The 15,754-nt window shown below is 39.2% G+C and overlaps 1 protein-coding gene across 37 annotated transcripts in view; it reads right to left on the bottom strand.

Moving 5' to 3' along the window:
• The window catches only part of APC (APC regulator of Wnt signaling pathway), a 138,742-nt gene continuing 123,347 nt past the window's right edge, over nucleotides 360-15,754 (bottom strand). For all 37 annotated transcript variants that reach the window (NR_176366.1, NR_176365.1, NM_001407470.1 and 34 more), the window contains 2 exons: nucleotides 11,434-11,648; nucleotides 360-9,046 (listed from right to left, as the gene is read on the bottom strand). Coding sequence is in view for 35 of the 37 variants with exons in the window: in NM_001407470.1 (NP_001394399.1) it covers nucleotides 2,473-9,046; nucleotides 11,434-11,648 (6,789 nt within the window). In the remaining 2 variants the exon portion in view is untranslated. The remainder of the gene's footprint in view (nucleotides 9,047-11,433; nucleotides 11,649-15,754) is intronic.

Raw genomic sequence — 15,754 nt, 5'->3', positions numbered from 1 at the left:
AGCACCCTGTGAACATCTATAATTAGAATTGAGATTTGCCCCTTTACTAATTCAGAACCACTATCTCTAACAGAGGGCCTCATCCAGCAGTCTTTACTTCAATGGGTAGTATAGACTGGCCCGTCTCCCCCCACTCAAGTGTTGCCTACAAAAATTCCACTTTTCTGGCATGTGGAATGTTCATTTTCAGCATTTATATTTTCTTCCTTATTTGAATTAAAAGGCAAGTTTATCTAATTGACTAACATCCATCTCTTTCCATAGAAGTACTTGAAGTGGTTTGCAACAACTGGCATGCAGTAATTCAGAAAATTAGAAATAGAAAATCAAAAAATGAAAGGAAACCAGTATGACCTATATGCATGTATCTCCATTGTTTATGGAAGCCTGGGAAAACAACAGAAGTAGATGGTATTCATAGACAATTTCAGATAACATTTGGCAAAAATTTAAAGGTCAATCATTTCAAAGATAGTAAATTGAAGTGTTTACAAAGTGGTGCAGTAGACACAGTACAGGCATTGGAGTCAAATATCTTAGCTCAAGTCATAGCACTTTTATTTACTGGCATTTTAGCTTTAAAAAAAATCATTCTCATTACCTGGAAGTTATAAACACAGGTAAGGGGTAGATAATTAACTACTTGATGTGATTTTCAAGGCACCAGGTAGGTGTATTCACTCCTATCTGAGTGCCCCACCATGCTTAAAAAGGTTTTCCCTCCCCAAATACAGAGTGTATGAATCTTATCACTAAAAATAAATTTTCATTTATTCAACAAATATGTATGCATGTATCATCAGTCACCCTCTGATCTTTTAAAACAAATCAGGGAAGATATATTAAGTAAATTATCTTAGTTAATAAGTGTCAGTTTATTTTCCTTCAGGAAGGAAGACTTCCCTCCACTGTATAAGGGGACACTTAACATGTACCCCAGAACTGTACCTACCACAAATAAAGTTTCCTTAACAGGCAGGGATTCTAAAATATACTTCTGAATATCTTAATCGTATTAAATCTACCTCTAAAGTTCCATGTGATTTGAATTTTCTGAGCATGGCAAAGTGCTGATTATACTTCACTGCTGAGATCTTGCCCTAACATACAGGGTGATAAAAAGTGTTCATGTCAGACCCAGTTGCAACAAGAAGATGAAGGGGCAAGACAGTTTACACTGTAAAGCCTCGAAGAGACTGCAATGTCTAAGAATCAATTTCAAGTACAGAATTCTATAATATTAAGAAAGAGGAAATTATGTGGGCCTATTATGCTCAATGCTTAGTCTGTGCTAGGCTGCTTGCATTGCTATTACATGAATTTACTTTTACTGAGCTCCAGTGGAGTAAGAAAAAAAAGTTTAAGTGGAAAAATATTAAAAATCAAGATGAGCTAATCACATAAAAGAAATTTCAGGAATAGATAAGTGCCAACGCATGGAATGGTTAAGTGGCAACAGTCTTCTTCAATTGTTTTTATTACAGTAAGAGGAATTTTACTCTTAATGCATAGAAGCTGAAGAAAAAAATTTATATAAGCTTTTAAAAGAGGCATTTTAAACAATTATTAATACAAATGTGAAACAAGACCCTTCAAACAAATACCAATTTCAGTAACAGTTTACATACAGCAATAATTTATTCTGAAATGTTCATTTAGTTTCTGTTGAGACACAATTCATGTCTCATTAATAAAAGAGCAGCCATCTCACCTCAAATACCAGAATATACAACAAATTACAGCATAGCAAAAATTCTACCTACTTTCAGATAAAATCTAGTTCAGGTAAAATAGTTTCATTCAATGTTTTACAGTTACACAGATTTTTGTTTTGTTTGGAGCACAAAATAGTGTAAATTATTACACTGTAGCTATCTCTATGCACATCATGTGACCACATAACTGTTAATCATTACTTCTGAAATTGAACCATCAGTTTCATTCATGCAGTAAAGCAAAGCAGGCTGGGTAAACTTGTTCATCGGGAACCATATTACTGTGAATTTCACAGCCACATGATTAATTATGATGTTAGATGGACTCACAAGGACAAAAACATTTTTTTTTGCATAAATACCAATTTTTCCCTGATGTAAGTTTAGTCAGTTTATAATCTAGAAATGATTGATAACAGCAATATATCATATTTTCTATCTGTAGTGTTCATTATTTTAAGACAAGCAATAATTAAAGGAAGTTGGGATGGGATGCTACTTTAAATACATGTAAAACATACTGTACAAACATACTTGGCTTTACTATTTTTTTCCTAACCATCAAGAGTGCCTCCCAAAATAAGACCAGTGAAGACAAAGTATACTATCAAATATGGCTTCCAGAACAAAAACCCTCTAACAAGAATCAAACCTATTTACAAAATTTTTCAGTCTTTTAAAGTTTCATTTGAAACAAAATGTCTATATAGCAGTTGTAATTAACATAGAATTTTCTTAGTTTCATTCTTCCTCTCTTTTAAACAGATGTCACAAGGTAAGACCCAGAATGGCGCTTAGGACTTTGGGTTCCACTGGATTCTGTGCTGTCAGTTTTGGAATCTCGCTTCTTTGTGTTGTTATTCACTGGAGTTGGGATCTGAGATGGCCGAGCTGAAGTGCTATCTGCGCTGCTTTTCCTAGGGCTTGGGTTGTAATTAAAAGGAGTCACTCTGGCAGCAACAGTCCCACTAGGTGAACTGTGTTTGCTTGAGCTGCTAGAACTGAATGGGGTACGTTCCACTATAGAACTTTCATTAGTCTCTGATACAGGGACAGGATTATTTTGTCCTGGTTTTATCTCAGTTCCTTTTTGGTCAGGGGCATCCACCTGAATAAAGGAGTTCAGGCGATTTTCCAAACCCACGGTACGCATGGGAACACTGCCATTACCCACATTTTGTTTTGCCTGATTATCTTTTGAATCTTTAATGTTTGGATTTGCCTTTTCTGAAACACTGTCAATCACCGGGGGAGTATTACCTGTGGGAGATCTTCCAGATCTAGGATTGTTAATGGGACAGTCCTCAATTCTCACCCAAACATCCTCTGTTTTAGAAACAGCAGGTGCCATTTGATAAATTAGAGTCTTTGATTCAGCACCATTTGTAGCACCTGAGGAAACGGTCTGAGAAGTACTATTTGTGGGAGAAAATTCATTTTCTTTTATTTTTCTCCATGTTCCTTTTGCGGATACTTGGTTTTCTTTACTTTGTTTGGTTCCTGAAATAGAGTTCACATGTTTTTCATCCTCACTTTTTGCTTTTTCACTGGATTCTGATGAAGCAGAAAGAATTGAAGATGAACTTCCAGTTCTTCTCCAAGTGCTTACTCGAGGAAGGGATGATGAATGTTTGCTGTGCTCACGTTTCCAGGTTCCTGACCTATTGATTGGAAGTCTAGAAGGACTTTCAGAATGAGACCGTGCAATATCATGGCGCTTTGCTGGTCTTCCATCATTATACTCTATAGTGGGACTGAGATTAGGTGGGAGTTTTCGCCATCCACCAGCCTGAACAGACGAATGTGTGGATAGAGACATATCAGGAAGGGAAGGACTTAAAACTGGAGTTTGTGCCTGGGACCTAGTGGGAGAAGCTGGTCTAGATGATGGAGAAAGAGATTCAAATGAAGCAGATTCCTCCAATTTTCTTCTTAAGGTTGGGCTTGGAGCTTCTTTGATGAAAGTTGACTGGCGTACTAATACAGGTCTTTCTGATCTATCAGATTCACTTCCACTTGATTTAGTTGAAGACATTCTAGAAAGTTCTACCTTTTTATTGGCTCCATTACCATTATTCATCTGATTTAGTCCTTTGGAGGCAGACTCACTTCTTGGAATACTACTGGCATTCTTGGATAAACCTGTTTGTTTGGTAAGGTTCTGTTGGCTCATCTGTCTACCTGGAGATGTATATGACATTTTTCCAGAACCTGAGGACTTAGTTGAAGCAGTACTAGGGGATGATGTCCTTGGAAGTTGAGATAATTTGTTAGGAGGACTTATTCCATTTCTACCAGGGGAAATTGAGTTTCGGCCAGGAGACTGTATAGGTCTACTTAATGGTTGCTGGGCAGGTCTTGAAGGGGTCGAATCTCTAGATCCTGATCTAGAAGGTGCTTTACTTGACCCACCTATTTGGGATGTCTGCCTGGCAACAGGGCTTAATTCTGATTTCACAGATGGCTTGGCTCCTCTAGGAGAAGTGGTGGCTGTTTGACCTTCACTAGGGCTTTTGGAGGCTGGAGTCTTAAGGGGTGGGCCTTTTTTAGAAACAGGACTTGTACTTGAGGAGCTATTTCGAACTCCTGGAATATGAATCATTGTCCTGCCTCGAGAGATTGAAGGCATGTTTGCTTGAAGGGGCTGTTTCATTTGGCCTGAAATTTCTGAATTAGATCGAACTTTTCCAGTAATCAAACTTTTATAAACTTTTTTTCCTCCTTTGATTCCTTTACTTTCAGATTCTATCTTTTTAGTTTCCAATGTACTTTTCTCCCCTGGTTTTAGAATTCGTGGGCCTTTATTACTTGTAAAGGGTTTTTCTTCTTGATCAGGTGTAAGATGAAATGGTGATCCCAGAGAGATTCCTGATTTCAGGGAAAGGATGGAATCTGAATCAGACGAAGCTTGTCTAGATAAACATGCAGCAGCAGCAGCTTGATGTAAACTACTTACTATGGAATTTGCACCTTCCTGAATAGCTTTCCAATCAAAATTTTCTGAATCAGGGGATAGACCATGTTCTGAATCTGGTCTCTGTATATCTTTCAAATCAAGTGTCAGATCTTCACCTAATATGCCACCCATATTTCTGGGACTATGTTTTTCATTATCACCCTTGAGTCTTGAAGGCTTTTTCTTTTTTGGCATTGCGGAGCTTATACATTCCTGCAACAGGTCATCTTCAGAGTCAATACTAAGAGAACTGAGAGAACTGTTTCTTGAGAAACAAACTGGGGTATCTTCAACATGAAATGATTTAGGAGCATAGCCTGATGCTTGAGGTTTACTTGGTTCTCCCTGTGAGTCAGGGGGCTCAGTCTCTTTGATAGGTTCATTTTCTTTATTGTTGTTTTCTTGGTCAATGTCACTGAGAGAACTCAGAGAGGAATTATGAGAAAAGCAAACCGGAGTATTTTCAATAGCAAAATTCTGTAACTTTTCATCAGTTGCTGCCCCTCTGTCTGGTATGTCTTTGGATGACTGGGGAAAAGTGGATTGTTTCTGAAGTATGGGTTTAGGCTGACCTCGATTTATTGGCTGCTTTGCAATAGCTTGTGTCTTATTAGCTGATTGTTGGTTGGAGGTTAGTTCTGTGTGGCTGGTAACTTTAGCCTCTGATTCCTTATTTTCTTTTGCCTTTCTTAATTCAGCCTTTTCCCTGGAAAGGTCAACATCATCATCATCAAAATCTAGAGAACTCAAAGAATCATTTCGTGAAAAACAGTAAGGAGTTCCTTCAATAGGCGTGTAATGATGAGGTGAATCAAAAGCAAAACTTCCTCTGACTCTATCTTCATTATTTGGGAGCTTATCATTGAAGACCTTGGAATTATTTTTCAAATTCTGTTTCTTTGAATCTTTGTTGTCTGAGAAAACTCTCTCAGCATTTAAATTATTTTTTGAGTCTGCATTTTTTCTTACACGTGTCCTATATTCAGTATTTTGTGGTATAGGTTTTACTGGTGAAGTTGGTTTCTTTTTCTTACCATCTAACTGATTTTTGTTGGGTGCAGAAGAAGACGCAGATGCTTGCTGGACCTGGTCCATTATCTTTTTCACACGGAAAGGCTTGTGACTTTTCCCTTTGGGCATAGCAGAATTAATGCATTCTGCAAGAATATCACCTTCCTCTGCTTTATTGTCATCCAATTCAGGTATGGTTACAGATGAGGTTTTTCCTCCTTGAGCCTCATCTGTACTTCTGCCTTCTGTAGGAATGGTATCTCGTTTTTCAAATTCACCTGACTGTGCCCCTCCTCTAACTCCTTCTCCAGCAGCTAACTCATTTGGAGGGGATTCGATTGTTAGATCACTTAGAGATGTAGCTGTGGAAAAGTTTATAGGTGTCCCTTCAACACAATACACCCGTGGCATATCATCCCCCGGTGTAAAACTAACATGCTTTTGGGGTTGCAACCTGTTTTGTGATGGTAGAAGTTTGTACACAGGCAGCTGACTTGGTTTCCTTGCCACAGGTGGAGGTAATTTTGAAGCAGTCTGGGCTGGCTTTTTTGCTTTACGTGATGACTTTGTTGGCATGGCAGAAATAATACATTCTTCTAGTATTTCAATATCATCATCATCTGAATCATCTAATAGGTCCTTTTCAGAATCAATAGTTTTTTCTGCCTCTTTCTCTTGGTTTTCATTTGATTCTTTAGGCTGCTCTGATTCTGTTTCATTCCCATTGTCATTTTCCTGAACTGGAGGCATTATTCTTAATTCCACATCTTTCTGTATAAATGGCTCATCGAGGCTCAGAGCACTCAGGCTGGATGAACAAGAAAATCCATCTGGAGTACTTTCCGTGGCAAAATGTAATAAAGTATCAGCATCTGGAAGAACCTGGACCCTCTGAACTGCAGCATTTACTGCAGCTTGCTTAGGTCCACTCTCTCTCTTTTCAGCAGTAGGTGCTTTATTTTTAGGTACTTCTCGCTTGGTTTGAGCTGTTTGAGGAGGTGGTGGAGGTGTTTTACTTCTGCTTGGTGGCATGGTTTGTCCAGGGCTATCTGGAAGATCACTGGGGCTTATAATGCCACTTACCATTCCACTGCATGGTTCACTCTGAACGGAGCTGGCAATCGAACGACTCTCAAAACTATCAAGTGAACTGACAGAAGTACATCTGCTAAACATGAGTGGGGTCTCCTGAACATAGTGTTCAGGTGGACTTTTGGGTGTCTGAGCACCACTTTTGGAGGGAGATTTCGCTCCTGAAGAAAATTCAACAGCTTTGTGCCTGGCTGATTCTGAAGATAAACTAGAACCCTGCAGTCTGCTGGATTTGGTTCTAGGGTGCTGTGACACTGCTGGAACTTCGCTCACAGGATCTTCAGCTGACCTAGTTCCAATCTTTTCTTTTATTTCTGCTATTTGCAGGGTATTAGCAGAATCTGCTTCCTGTGTCGTCTGATTACATCCTATTTCATCTTCAGCTGATGACAAAGATGATAATGAACTACATCTTGAAAAACATATTGGAGTATCTTCTACACAATAAGTCTGTATTGTTTCTTGGTTAATAGAAGAAACTTTGCAAGTGGCAGCCTTTTGAGGCTGACCACTTCTACTCTGTGCAGAACTTGGATGGAGCTGATTCTGCCTCTTGGCATTAGATGAAGGTGTGGACGTATTCTCACTGCTTGAAGACATATGTTCGGTTTTACTGCTTTGTCCAGATGAACTCTTTGAGAATGAAAATGACTGTTTCTGTGATGAAGGAATATCTGTGGCATATTTTAAACTATAATCAATAGGCTGATCCACATGACGTTTCTCTTCATTATATTTTATGCTATAATTTGTTGGTCTCTCTTCTTCTTCATGCTGTTCTTCTTCAGAGTAACGTTCACTATAATTGGTAGGCTTATCATCTTCATAGTCATCTTCTTGACACAAAGACTGGCTTACATTTTGATTAATTCCATGATTAGAACCCACTCGATTTGTTTCTGAACCATTGGCTCCCCGTGACCTGTATGGAGAAACACATTCCTGCTGTCCAAAATGTGGTTGGAACTTGAGGTGTTTATCATCAGTGCTCTCAGTATAAACAGGATAAGTTGTACTTTGATTCCTTGATTGTCTTTGCTCACTTTGTTTTATTTCATCTTCTATTATGTGTTTGGGTCTTGCCCATCTTTCATTCTGTGAAGGACTTTGCCTTCCAGAGTTCAACTGCTCATCTGAATATTTAAGACTATAATTTATTGGTGTATCTAGTTCTCCATCATTATCATCCATATGATTTGCACTATGTATTTTATGGGCTAGGTCGGCTGGGTATTGACCATAACTGCAAAACTTACTTTCATCATCTTCAGAATAGGATTCAATCGAGGGTTTCATTTGACCTCTTTTACCATAACCATCACTACTACTGACACTATTTAAACTATCATTTGAAGATCTCTTGTATTCTAATTTGGCATAAGGCATAGAACATGTCCTATTTGAATTTTCCGACTTAGTGAAATTGTAAGTGTTTGAATGTGTATGGGCAGCAGAGCTTCTTCTAAGTGCATTTCTCTCATCTGTCACACAATGTAATTCAGTGGTAGACCCAGAACTTCTGTCTTCCTGAGAGGTATGAATGGCTGACACTTCTTCCATGACTTTGGCAATCTGGGCTGCAGTGGTGGAGATCTGCAAACCTCGCTTTGAAGAAGTTCCTGGATTTTCTGTTGCTGGATGGTAGTTGCCTAGACCAATTCCGCGTTCTCTCTCCAAACTTCTATCTTTTTCAGAACGAGAACTATCTAAGCTTCCTCTTGATGAAGAGGAGCTGGGTAACACTGTAGTATTCAAATATGGTGAAAGGACAGTCATGTTGCCAGTATTAAAATTGTCTGACCTATTATCATCATGTCGATTGGTGTCAAAAACATAATCACCATAGAGACTTTGCTTGTGTCTCTGCTTACTACGATGAGATGCCTTGGGACTTAAATTGTCTATATTGTCAAAAGTTTCTGATAAGTGCTGAGCATCTAATTCTGCTTCTAGGGCTTTTTGTTTCCTAACATGAAGAGATGGCAAGCTTGAGCCAGGAGACATAATATTGGCATCCTTGTACTTCGCAGGCCTATTTGCCATGAGATTCCTTAAAGCTGCAGCACTTCCCATAGCAATCATTTTGTGCTTTGAATGAATGAGGTTCTTGAGCATGCTAACTGCCCCCATGTCCCATAATGCTTCCTGGTCTTTAGGATTTCTTGCTGAGAGATTCCACAAAGTTCCACATGCATTACTGACTATTGTCAAACTATGAGATTTTAAGTGTTGTAATAAAGTTTGTAGACAGTTGTTCTCTCTTAGGATTTGCCTGAAATAAAATCAAGAGATCACAAAATTAAGGTCACAATGTGTATGCAGTAACAACAAATAAAAGGATAGAAGACAAAAGGCATAATATGATTGTACCAATTATCCTATAAATTCCAAGTATTCCACATCTCCTTTTGTTCTAATTTCATGTAATGTTTAATGTTTTAAAGTACTAATCTGTCACACTAAAAAAAGTAAAGGTGTTATTTTTTGTCAATTCTACATTTCCTATTCTGACCCAATAGCTTAAAACATTTGCAGGGGGTGGGGCACATACATTTACTCTATTCATATAACAGTTTCCCAATTTAAAAACTATATCATGAAATCCTATGTTGAATAGGAACTTTGTGGTAATTTAATCTATGGTTGGGTGCCACTCTGATATTGATATTGAGTTATCTTGGAAGAGGTAGATAGAATTGATTGAAGATTTTTCTGCAGTCAGTGCACATTATAAGCTCTTAGATTAGAACACTTACTTTTTAGAGTAATCTCTGTATCTCTGGCTTGATTTTGTGATACTGCCATCCTTCTTACGAGTGCTCTTGGCCAGACACAGTGGCTCATGCCTGTAATCCCAGCACTTTAGGAGGCTGAGGCAGGCGGATCACCTGAGATTAGGAGATCAAGACCAGCCTGGCCAACATGGTGAAACCCTGTCTCTACTAAAAATACAAAAATTAGCCGGGCATGGTAGTGCATGCCTGTAGTCCCAGCTACTCAGGAGGCTGAGCCAGGAGAATCACTTGGGAGGCAGAGGTTGCAGTGAGCCGAGATCACACCACTGCACTCCAACCTGGACAACAGAGTGAGACTCCATCTCAAAAAAAAGAAAAAAAAGAAAAGAAAAACTGCTCTTTGGCAGACTGTGTGCTTATTATTTTTAAAAAATCAAGTAAATTAAAGTTTTTGAAACATTTAAGGCATATAAAAACAAGGAGTGAGAATCAGCATAATGAACTCTGGACATGAAAGAGCAACAGCTTGTTTAACGCAGGCAAACTGAAGATTAATGACAGCATATTCAGCTTTAGTGGGCTTTAAAACTGAATGGCAAGGGTACATAATGAGCTTTAACATGGTCGTCTTCTCTTAGCAGTCCAGTAGTTACTGGACTTAAGAAATCTTCTCTGTATAGCAGAAAGGGAGACTAGGCTTGTAGTTTCTGCATCACAGACTTAAAAAATGAATAAGCTATAAAAAACAACCATATTTTTGGCTAGGCGCAGTAGCCCATGCCTATAATCCCAGCACTTTGGGAGGCCGAGGTGGGCGGATCACCTAAGGTCAGGAGTTCAAGGCCAGCCTGGCCAACATGGTGAAGCCCCGTCTCTACTAAAAATATAAAAATTAGCCGGGCACGGTGGCGGGGGGGGGGGGGGACCTGTAATCCCAGCTACTCGGGAGGCTGAGGCAGGAGAATCGCTTGAACCCCAAAGGCAGAGGTTGCAGTGAGCAAAGATTGTGCCACTGTACTCCAGCCCGGGCAAGAGTGCAAGACTCCATCTCAAGAAAAAAAAAAAAAAAAAAAAAAAAAAGACAGTTGTATTTTTGTTGATATAATACAGCATCCGAGTTCTGAAAATGTGTGCCCTGTATCTGAAGCACTCTCTTGGGTTTTACAACTCTAGCAGATTGGATGAATGGCTGTTAGCTAAATAATATTATGATTATTGGCCGGGCGCGGTGGCTCACACCTGTAATCCCAGCACTTAGGGAGGCTGAGACAGGTGGGTCACTGGAGGCCAGGAGTTCAAGAGCAGCTGGACAACATTGTGAAACCCCATCTCTACCAAAAAATAGAAAAATTAGCCGGGTGTTGTGGCGTGCATCTGTAGTCCCAGCTTGTTGGGAAGCTGAGGTGGGAGAATCGCTTGAACCCAGGAGGTGGAGGTTGCAGTGAGCCAAGATCACAACACTGCCCTCCAGTCTGGGAGACAGAGTGAGACCCTGTCTCAAAAAAAAAAAAAAAAAATTATTATTATGGATACTAAGACATCATTAGAAAAATGTGAACCTTTATATTCTCTGGATCACGCTCATAGTTTTTGTCTTGTTCTAAATTTTGTTTTCATACTCTTTTATACTATACTAATAGAAATGGATTATTTTGTTACAATATTTGTGACTATTTTTTCCTCCACCTATGGGCTACACCTCTCAACTATAATTTGCTTAATTTAGTCTCCTCTATAATACTATAAACTGTTATTACATTAAGTACACTAATGAGTTAAACTAAGAGTTAGTAGTTATCTTTTCACAGTAATAAATATATTTTGGCTTAAAACTTTCATGATTATATAAAACATTGCTTACAATTAGGTCTTTTTGAGAGTATGAATTCTGTACTTTAAAAGTAATATAAAACTCTATATATACCTGTGGTCCTCATTTGTAGCTATCAAGCTGGACACATTCCGTAATATCCCACCTCCACTTTCAATAATGGCTAAAGTGTTTGTCTGGCTCCGGTAAGTAAGAGTGCCAACCAAAAATGCAAGTGCACCATCTACAGCACATATATCAGCTTTATTCTCAGTGCAATGTGCTGACAAATTCCATAAGGCACTCAATACGCTTTTGAGGGTTGATTCCTAGTAAGAAACAGAATATGGGTCATCTAATTAGAGTTGGAATTTGTCTCTCATTAACTTCTATGTTACTGATATTGAATAAAAGCTATTTTTTAATCTATCCTATTGCCCGTCCCTCACTGGTAAATTAAGAACTTTCCATTTAGAAAAATGTTCATAAAATACCAAATAGTATTTATATCAGTGATATCTCTATAAAACAAGCAGAACACAATATTTAACTAATGACTTTTATAAACTTTATTCTAAGTGTTTAGATAGTACACACATCTTAGAATATGAGGCACAACTGATGTGCATTATGAAAAGAAAACATTTTCAGAATAGAATGTGGGTTATTCTCAGGCTGGGGTTGCTTGAAAAAAGAAAAAAAAAAGTGAACAGGAAGTGGATTAAGGCCCGGCATGTGGCCGGGCACAGTGGCTCATGCCTGTAATCCCAGCACTTTGGGAGGCTGACGGGTGGATCATCTGAGGTCAGGAGTTCAAGACCAGCCTCGCCAATGTGGTAAAACCCCGTCTCTACAAAAATACAAAAAAAAATTAGCCGGGCTTCATGGCAGGTGCCTGTAATCCCAGCTACTTGGGAGGCTGAGGTGGGAGAATCGCTTGAACCTGGGAGGCAGAGGTCGCAGTGAGCCGAGACTGCAACACTGCATTCTAGCCTGGCTGACAGAGCGAAACTCTTTTTAAAAAAAAAAAAAAAAAAAAAAGGCGCAACGTGGTGGCTCATGCCTGTAATCCCAGCACTTTGGAAGGCTGACTGGCGTGACTGGGAGTTTAGGAATTTGAGACCAGCCTGGACAACATGGTGAAATCCCGTCTGTACAAAAAATAAAAAAAAAATGAGCTGGGTATGGTGGCACGCGCCTGCAGTCACAGCTGCTTGGGAGGATCACTTGCGCCTGGGAGGTCAAGGCTGCAGTAAGCCATGATCGCGCCACTGCACTCAAGCCTGGTTGACAGTGAGACCCTGTCTCAAAAAAAAAAGAAAGTAGATTTTTAAAATTCTGTAAACCATACATAGATATGGAAAGATATCTTGGAAGTATTATTAAATGACAAGAGCAAGTTGCAGTGTAGTATATACAATATTCTGTTTATATAAAAAGCATTATATACAAGTGGTTGATTCAAAATTAACAATGTAATTTATAAAAACAATAAAGGGTACTAGAAAAGCTATAATTTCTTAAAATTCCCCACATAACAAATTATGAAAACCTGGAACTCCCTAACATACAATTATCAAAGTCAACTGTCAAATTGTAATGGCCACAGAAACACTCTGATACACAATTAAAGGTATTTGGTCAAAACTTGCCATGTGCTGGGTGTGGTGGCTCATGCCTTCAGGCCCAGCACTTTGGGAGGCTGAGGTGGGTGGATCACTTAAGCCTAGGAGTTAAAAACCAGCCTGGGCAACACAGCAATACCCAATCTCTACAAAAAATATAAAAAGTAGCCAGGCGGCCAGGCGCAATGGCTCATGCCTGTAATCCCAGCACTTTGAGGGGCCAAGGTGCACGGATCACGAGGTCAGGAGATCGAGACCATCCTGATCAACATGGTGAAACCCTGTCTCTACTAAAATACAAAAAATTAGCCCGGTGTGGTGGTGGGCACCTGTAATCCTAGCTACTTGGGAGGCTGAGGCAGGGGAATCGCTTGAACCAGGGAGGCAGAGGTTGCAGTGAGCCGAGATTGCGCCACTATACTCCAGCCTAGGTGACAGAGCGAGACTCGGTCTCAAAAAAAAAAAAAAAAAAAATTAGCCAGGCATGGTGGTGCACACCTATAGGTCCAGCTACTTGAGAAGCTGAGGCGGGAGGCTAGCTTGAGCCCAGGAGGTCAAGGCTGTGTGGCAGAGTGAGACCCTGTCTCAAAAAAGCAAAAGCAAAAGCAAAAGCAAAAAAAAAAAACCCAAACCCAAAACTTGGCATGATGGTGATGTCAATCTGTCTTCTTACTATATATCCATCAGGAAACAAACATTAATTAGAAATCAACTCTGTGCCTATTGCAATGAGAGGCACTCTAGAGGATGCAAACATAGCAAACTGATACCAGTGATTGAAGGTGTTAGCAATTTGCTTTGGGGGGAAAAAAAGATACAAAAATATACATGAAACAAAGTGCTCCAAAGAAAAAACTATTACACCCTGAATTTAATCAAATCAATCAAATATTTCATGGAGGAGAACAGCTCTTTAGGAGGATTAGACCTGTACATTCCCAGAGAAGAGAATCCAGTTGCTGCTGGCAGGGGAAGTAGAATGAGGAAAGGCAGGGAAGTGGGAATCAGCGCGGGAGTACTGATGACCCAGAAAGAAGATGCAAAGGAGATCACAGTCCATGATGGGGAACAGTGGAAAATAAGTCCAGAGAGACAAAAGCCAGGCCTTGAATGTCACAGCAAACATTTTGGGTCTAACCCAATAAATAGCTACTTTACTCTCTTCATCAAGAAATTAAGTGAACAAAACAATCTAGGAGCAGGTTTAGACATAATTTGTCACATAAGTGGTAGGAGGCAGATAGAGTGCTTTTATGCAAGAAGTGCCTTTGTCCTTCTCACATCAATCAAGATGAGCCCAATTTTAATTACATTGTGACTGAGATAAAGGTGGGGCACTCCAAGTATCCTGAGAACAAAAAAAGCAAGAATTTAAAGGACTGAATTAAGATGCAACTGGCCCAGAGTTGAGAGTTGAAGGTAGAAAAATACAAAAGTTCCTCTCTGTGGGGCTACATGTCAAGGGCCAGAGGTTTTGTTTCAAAAATGTTTTTATAGTTCAAATTAGAAGACACAAAATAAATAATTAGAGGTTATTAATACAAGTAGTAACAGCAAAAGTGAGTGACCAAAAAGTATAAAATACAGGTGAAGGTAGAATAGAAAAACTTAAATAAATCTACAAATCTAGATTCTATGATCAAGGAGAAGGGTTGTGTCAGAAGCAAAATTAGGAGGAACTCAAGATAGTACAGCCAGTTTAGAAATGAAGCAAGTCAAAGTCAACTGTCAAATTGTAACTGCCCCAGAAACACTCTGATACACAAAGGTATTTGGTCAAAACCATTGTTCAGGGTTTTGGTTGTTACTGGAAAAGAGAAACACTGTAATAGAAGCCACAGAAAATTTTTGTTTTTCAAAACATTGGGCTTCTTCTAGAGAACTGAAACATAAAAAAGAAGGATCCAGTAGAGAATATGTAGAAGACAAGAGTAAGGGACCAACAGCTTTAAGTGAACGGAGTACAGAGTGCTGGTAAAGGAAAGCTCTAGAGTAAGAGCTCTGAGTGAGTTAAAGTGATGTGGAACATGCAGGGGAGCTAGAAGGTAGTTCTGATTCTCTTGCTCATTAGTAGCTGAAGTTGAGAGGGAATTGATATTGAATGAAAAAGAGAAGAAGAATGTTCATGACTGCTGCACTAAATGTAGAAAAAGAGGGAAAAAATAAATAAATTCTAATACTGCTAACCAGAATTAGGCCCAAATCAGAACTGGATATTATAAATTTCTGACAGCTAGTTTTTCCAAGATTGACCATGCATTATATCATGCCTGTAATCCCAGCACTTTGGAAGGCCAAGGCAGGCGGGTCATGAGGTCAGGAGATGAAGACCATCCTGGCCAACATGGTGAAACCCCGTCTCTACTAAAAATACAAAAACTAGCTGGGCATGGTGGCGCATGCCTATAATCCCAGCTACTTGGGAGGCTGAGGCAGGATAATCGCTTGAACCAGGGAGTTGGAGGTTGCAGTTAGCCGAGATCCTGCCACTGCACTCCAGCCTGGCAGCAGAGCAAGACTCCATCTCAAAAAAAAAAAAAATTTATAGAAGAGTTTAGGTCCTTGAGAGAGAATTAAGTCATGAACCAGTTAGCAGCAGTGCAAATTCTCATAATACACACACACATTAAATCCTTCTGAAACTACACAGGGTTATTAGAGTAGGAGTACTTAAGTGTGCAAGCACTAATTTTTTTGAACTTTATTGAAATATAATTGAAGAACAGTAAACTGCACACATTTCAAGTTTACAATTTGATAATTTTTCATACATGTATACACCCATAAAACTGCCAGTCCAATCAAGATAA

This window comes from Homo sapiens, chromosome 5, assembly GCF_000001405.40.
Source record: "Homo sapiens chromosome 5, GRCh38.p14 Primary Assembly".
Taxonomy (NCBI): Eukaryota; Metazoa; Chordata; class Mammalia; order Primates; family Hominidae; genus Homo; species Homo sapiens.
Note: the sequence above shows the minus strand (reverse complement) of the source record. Positions and strands in the feature narration are given on the sequence as shown.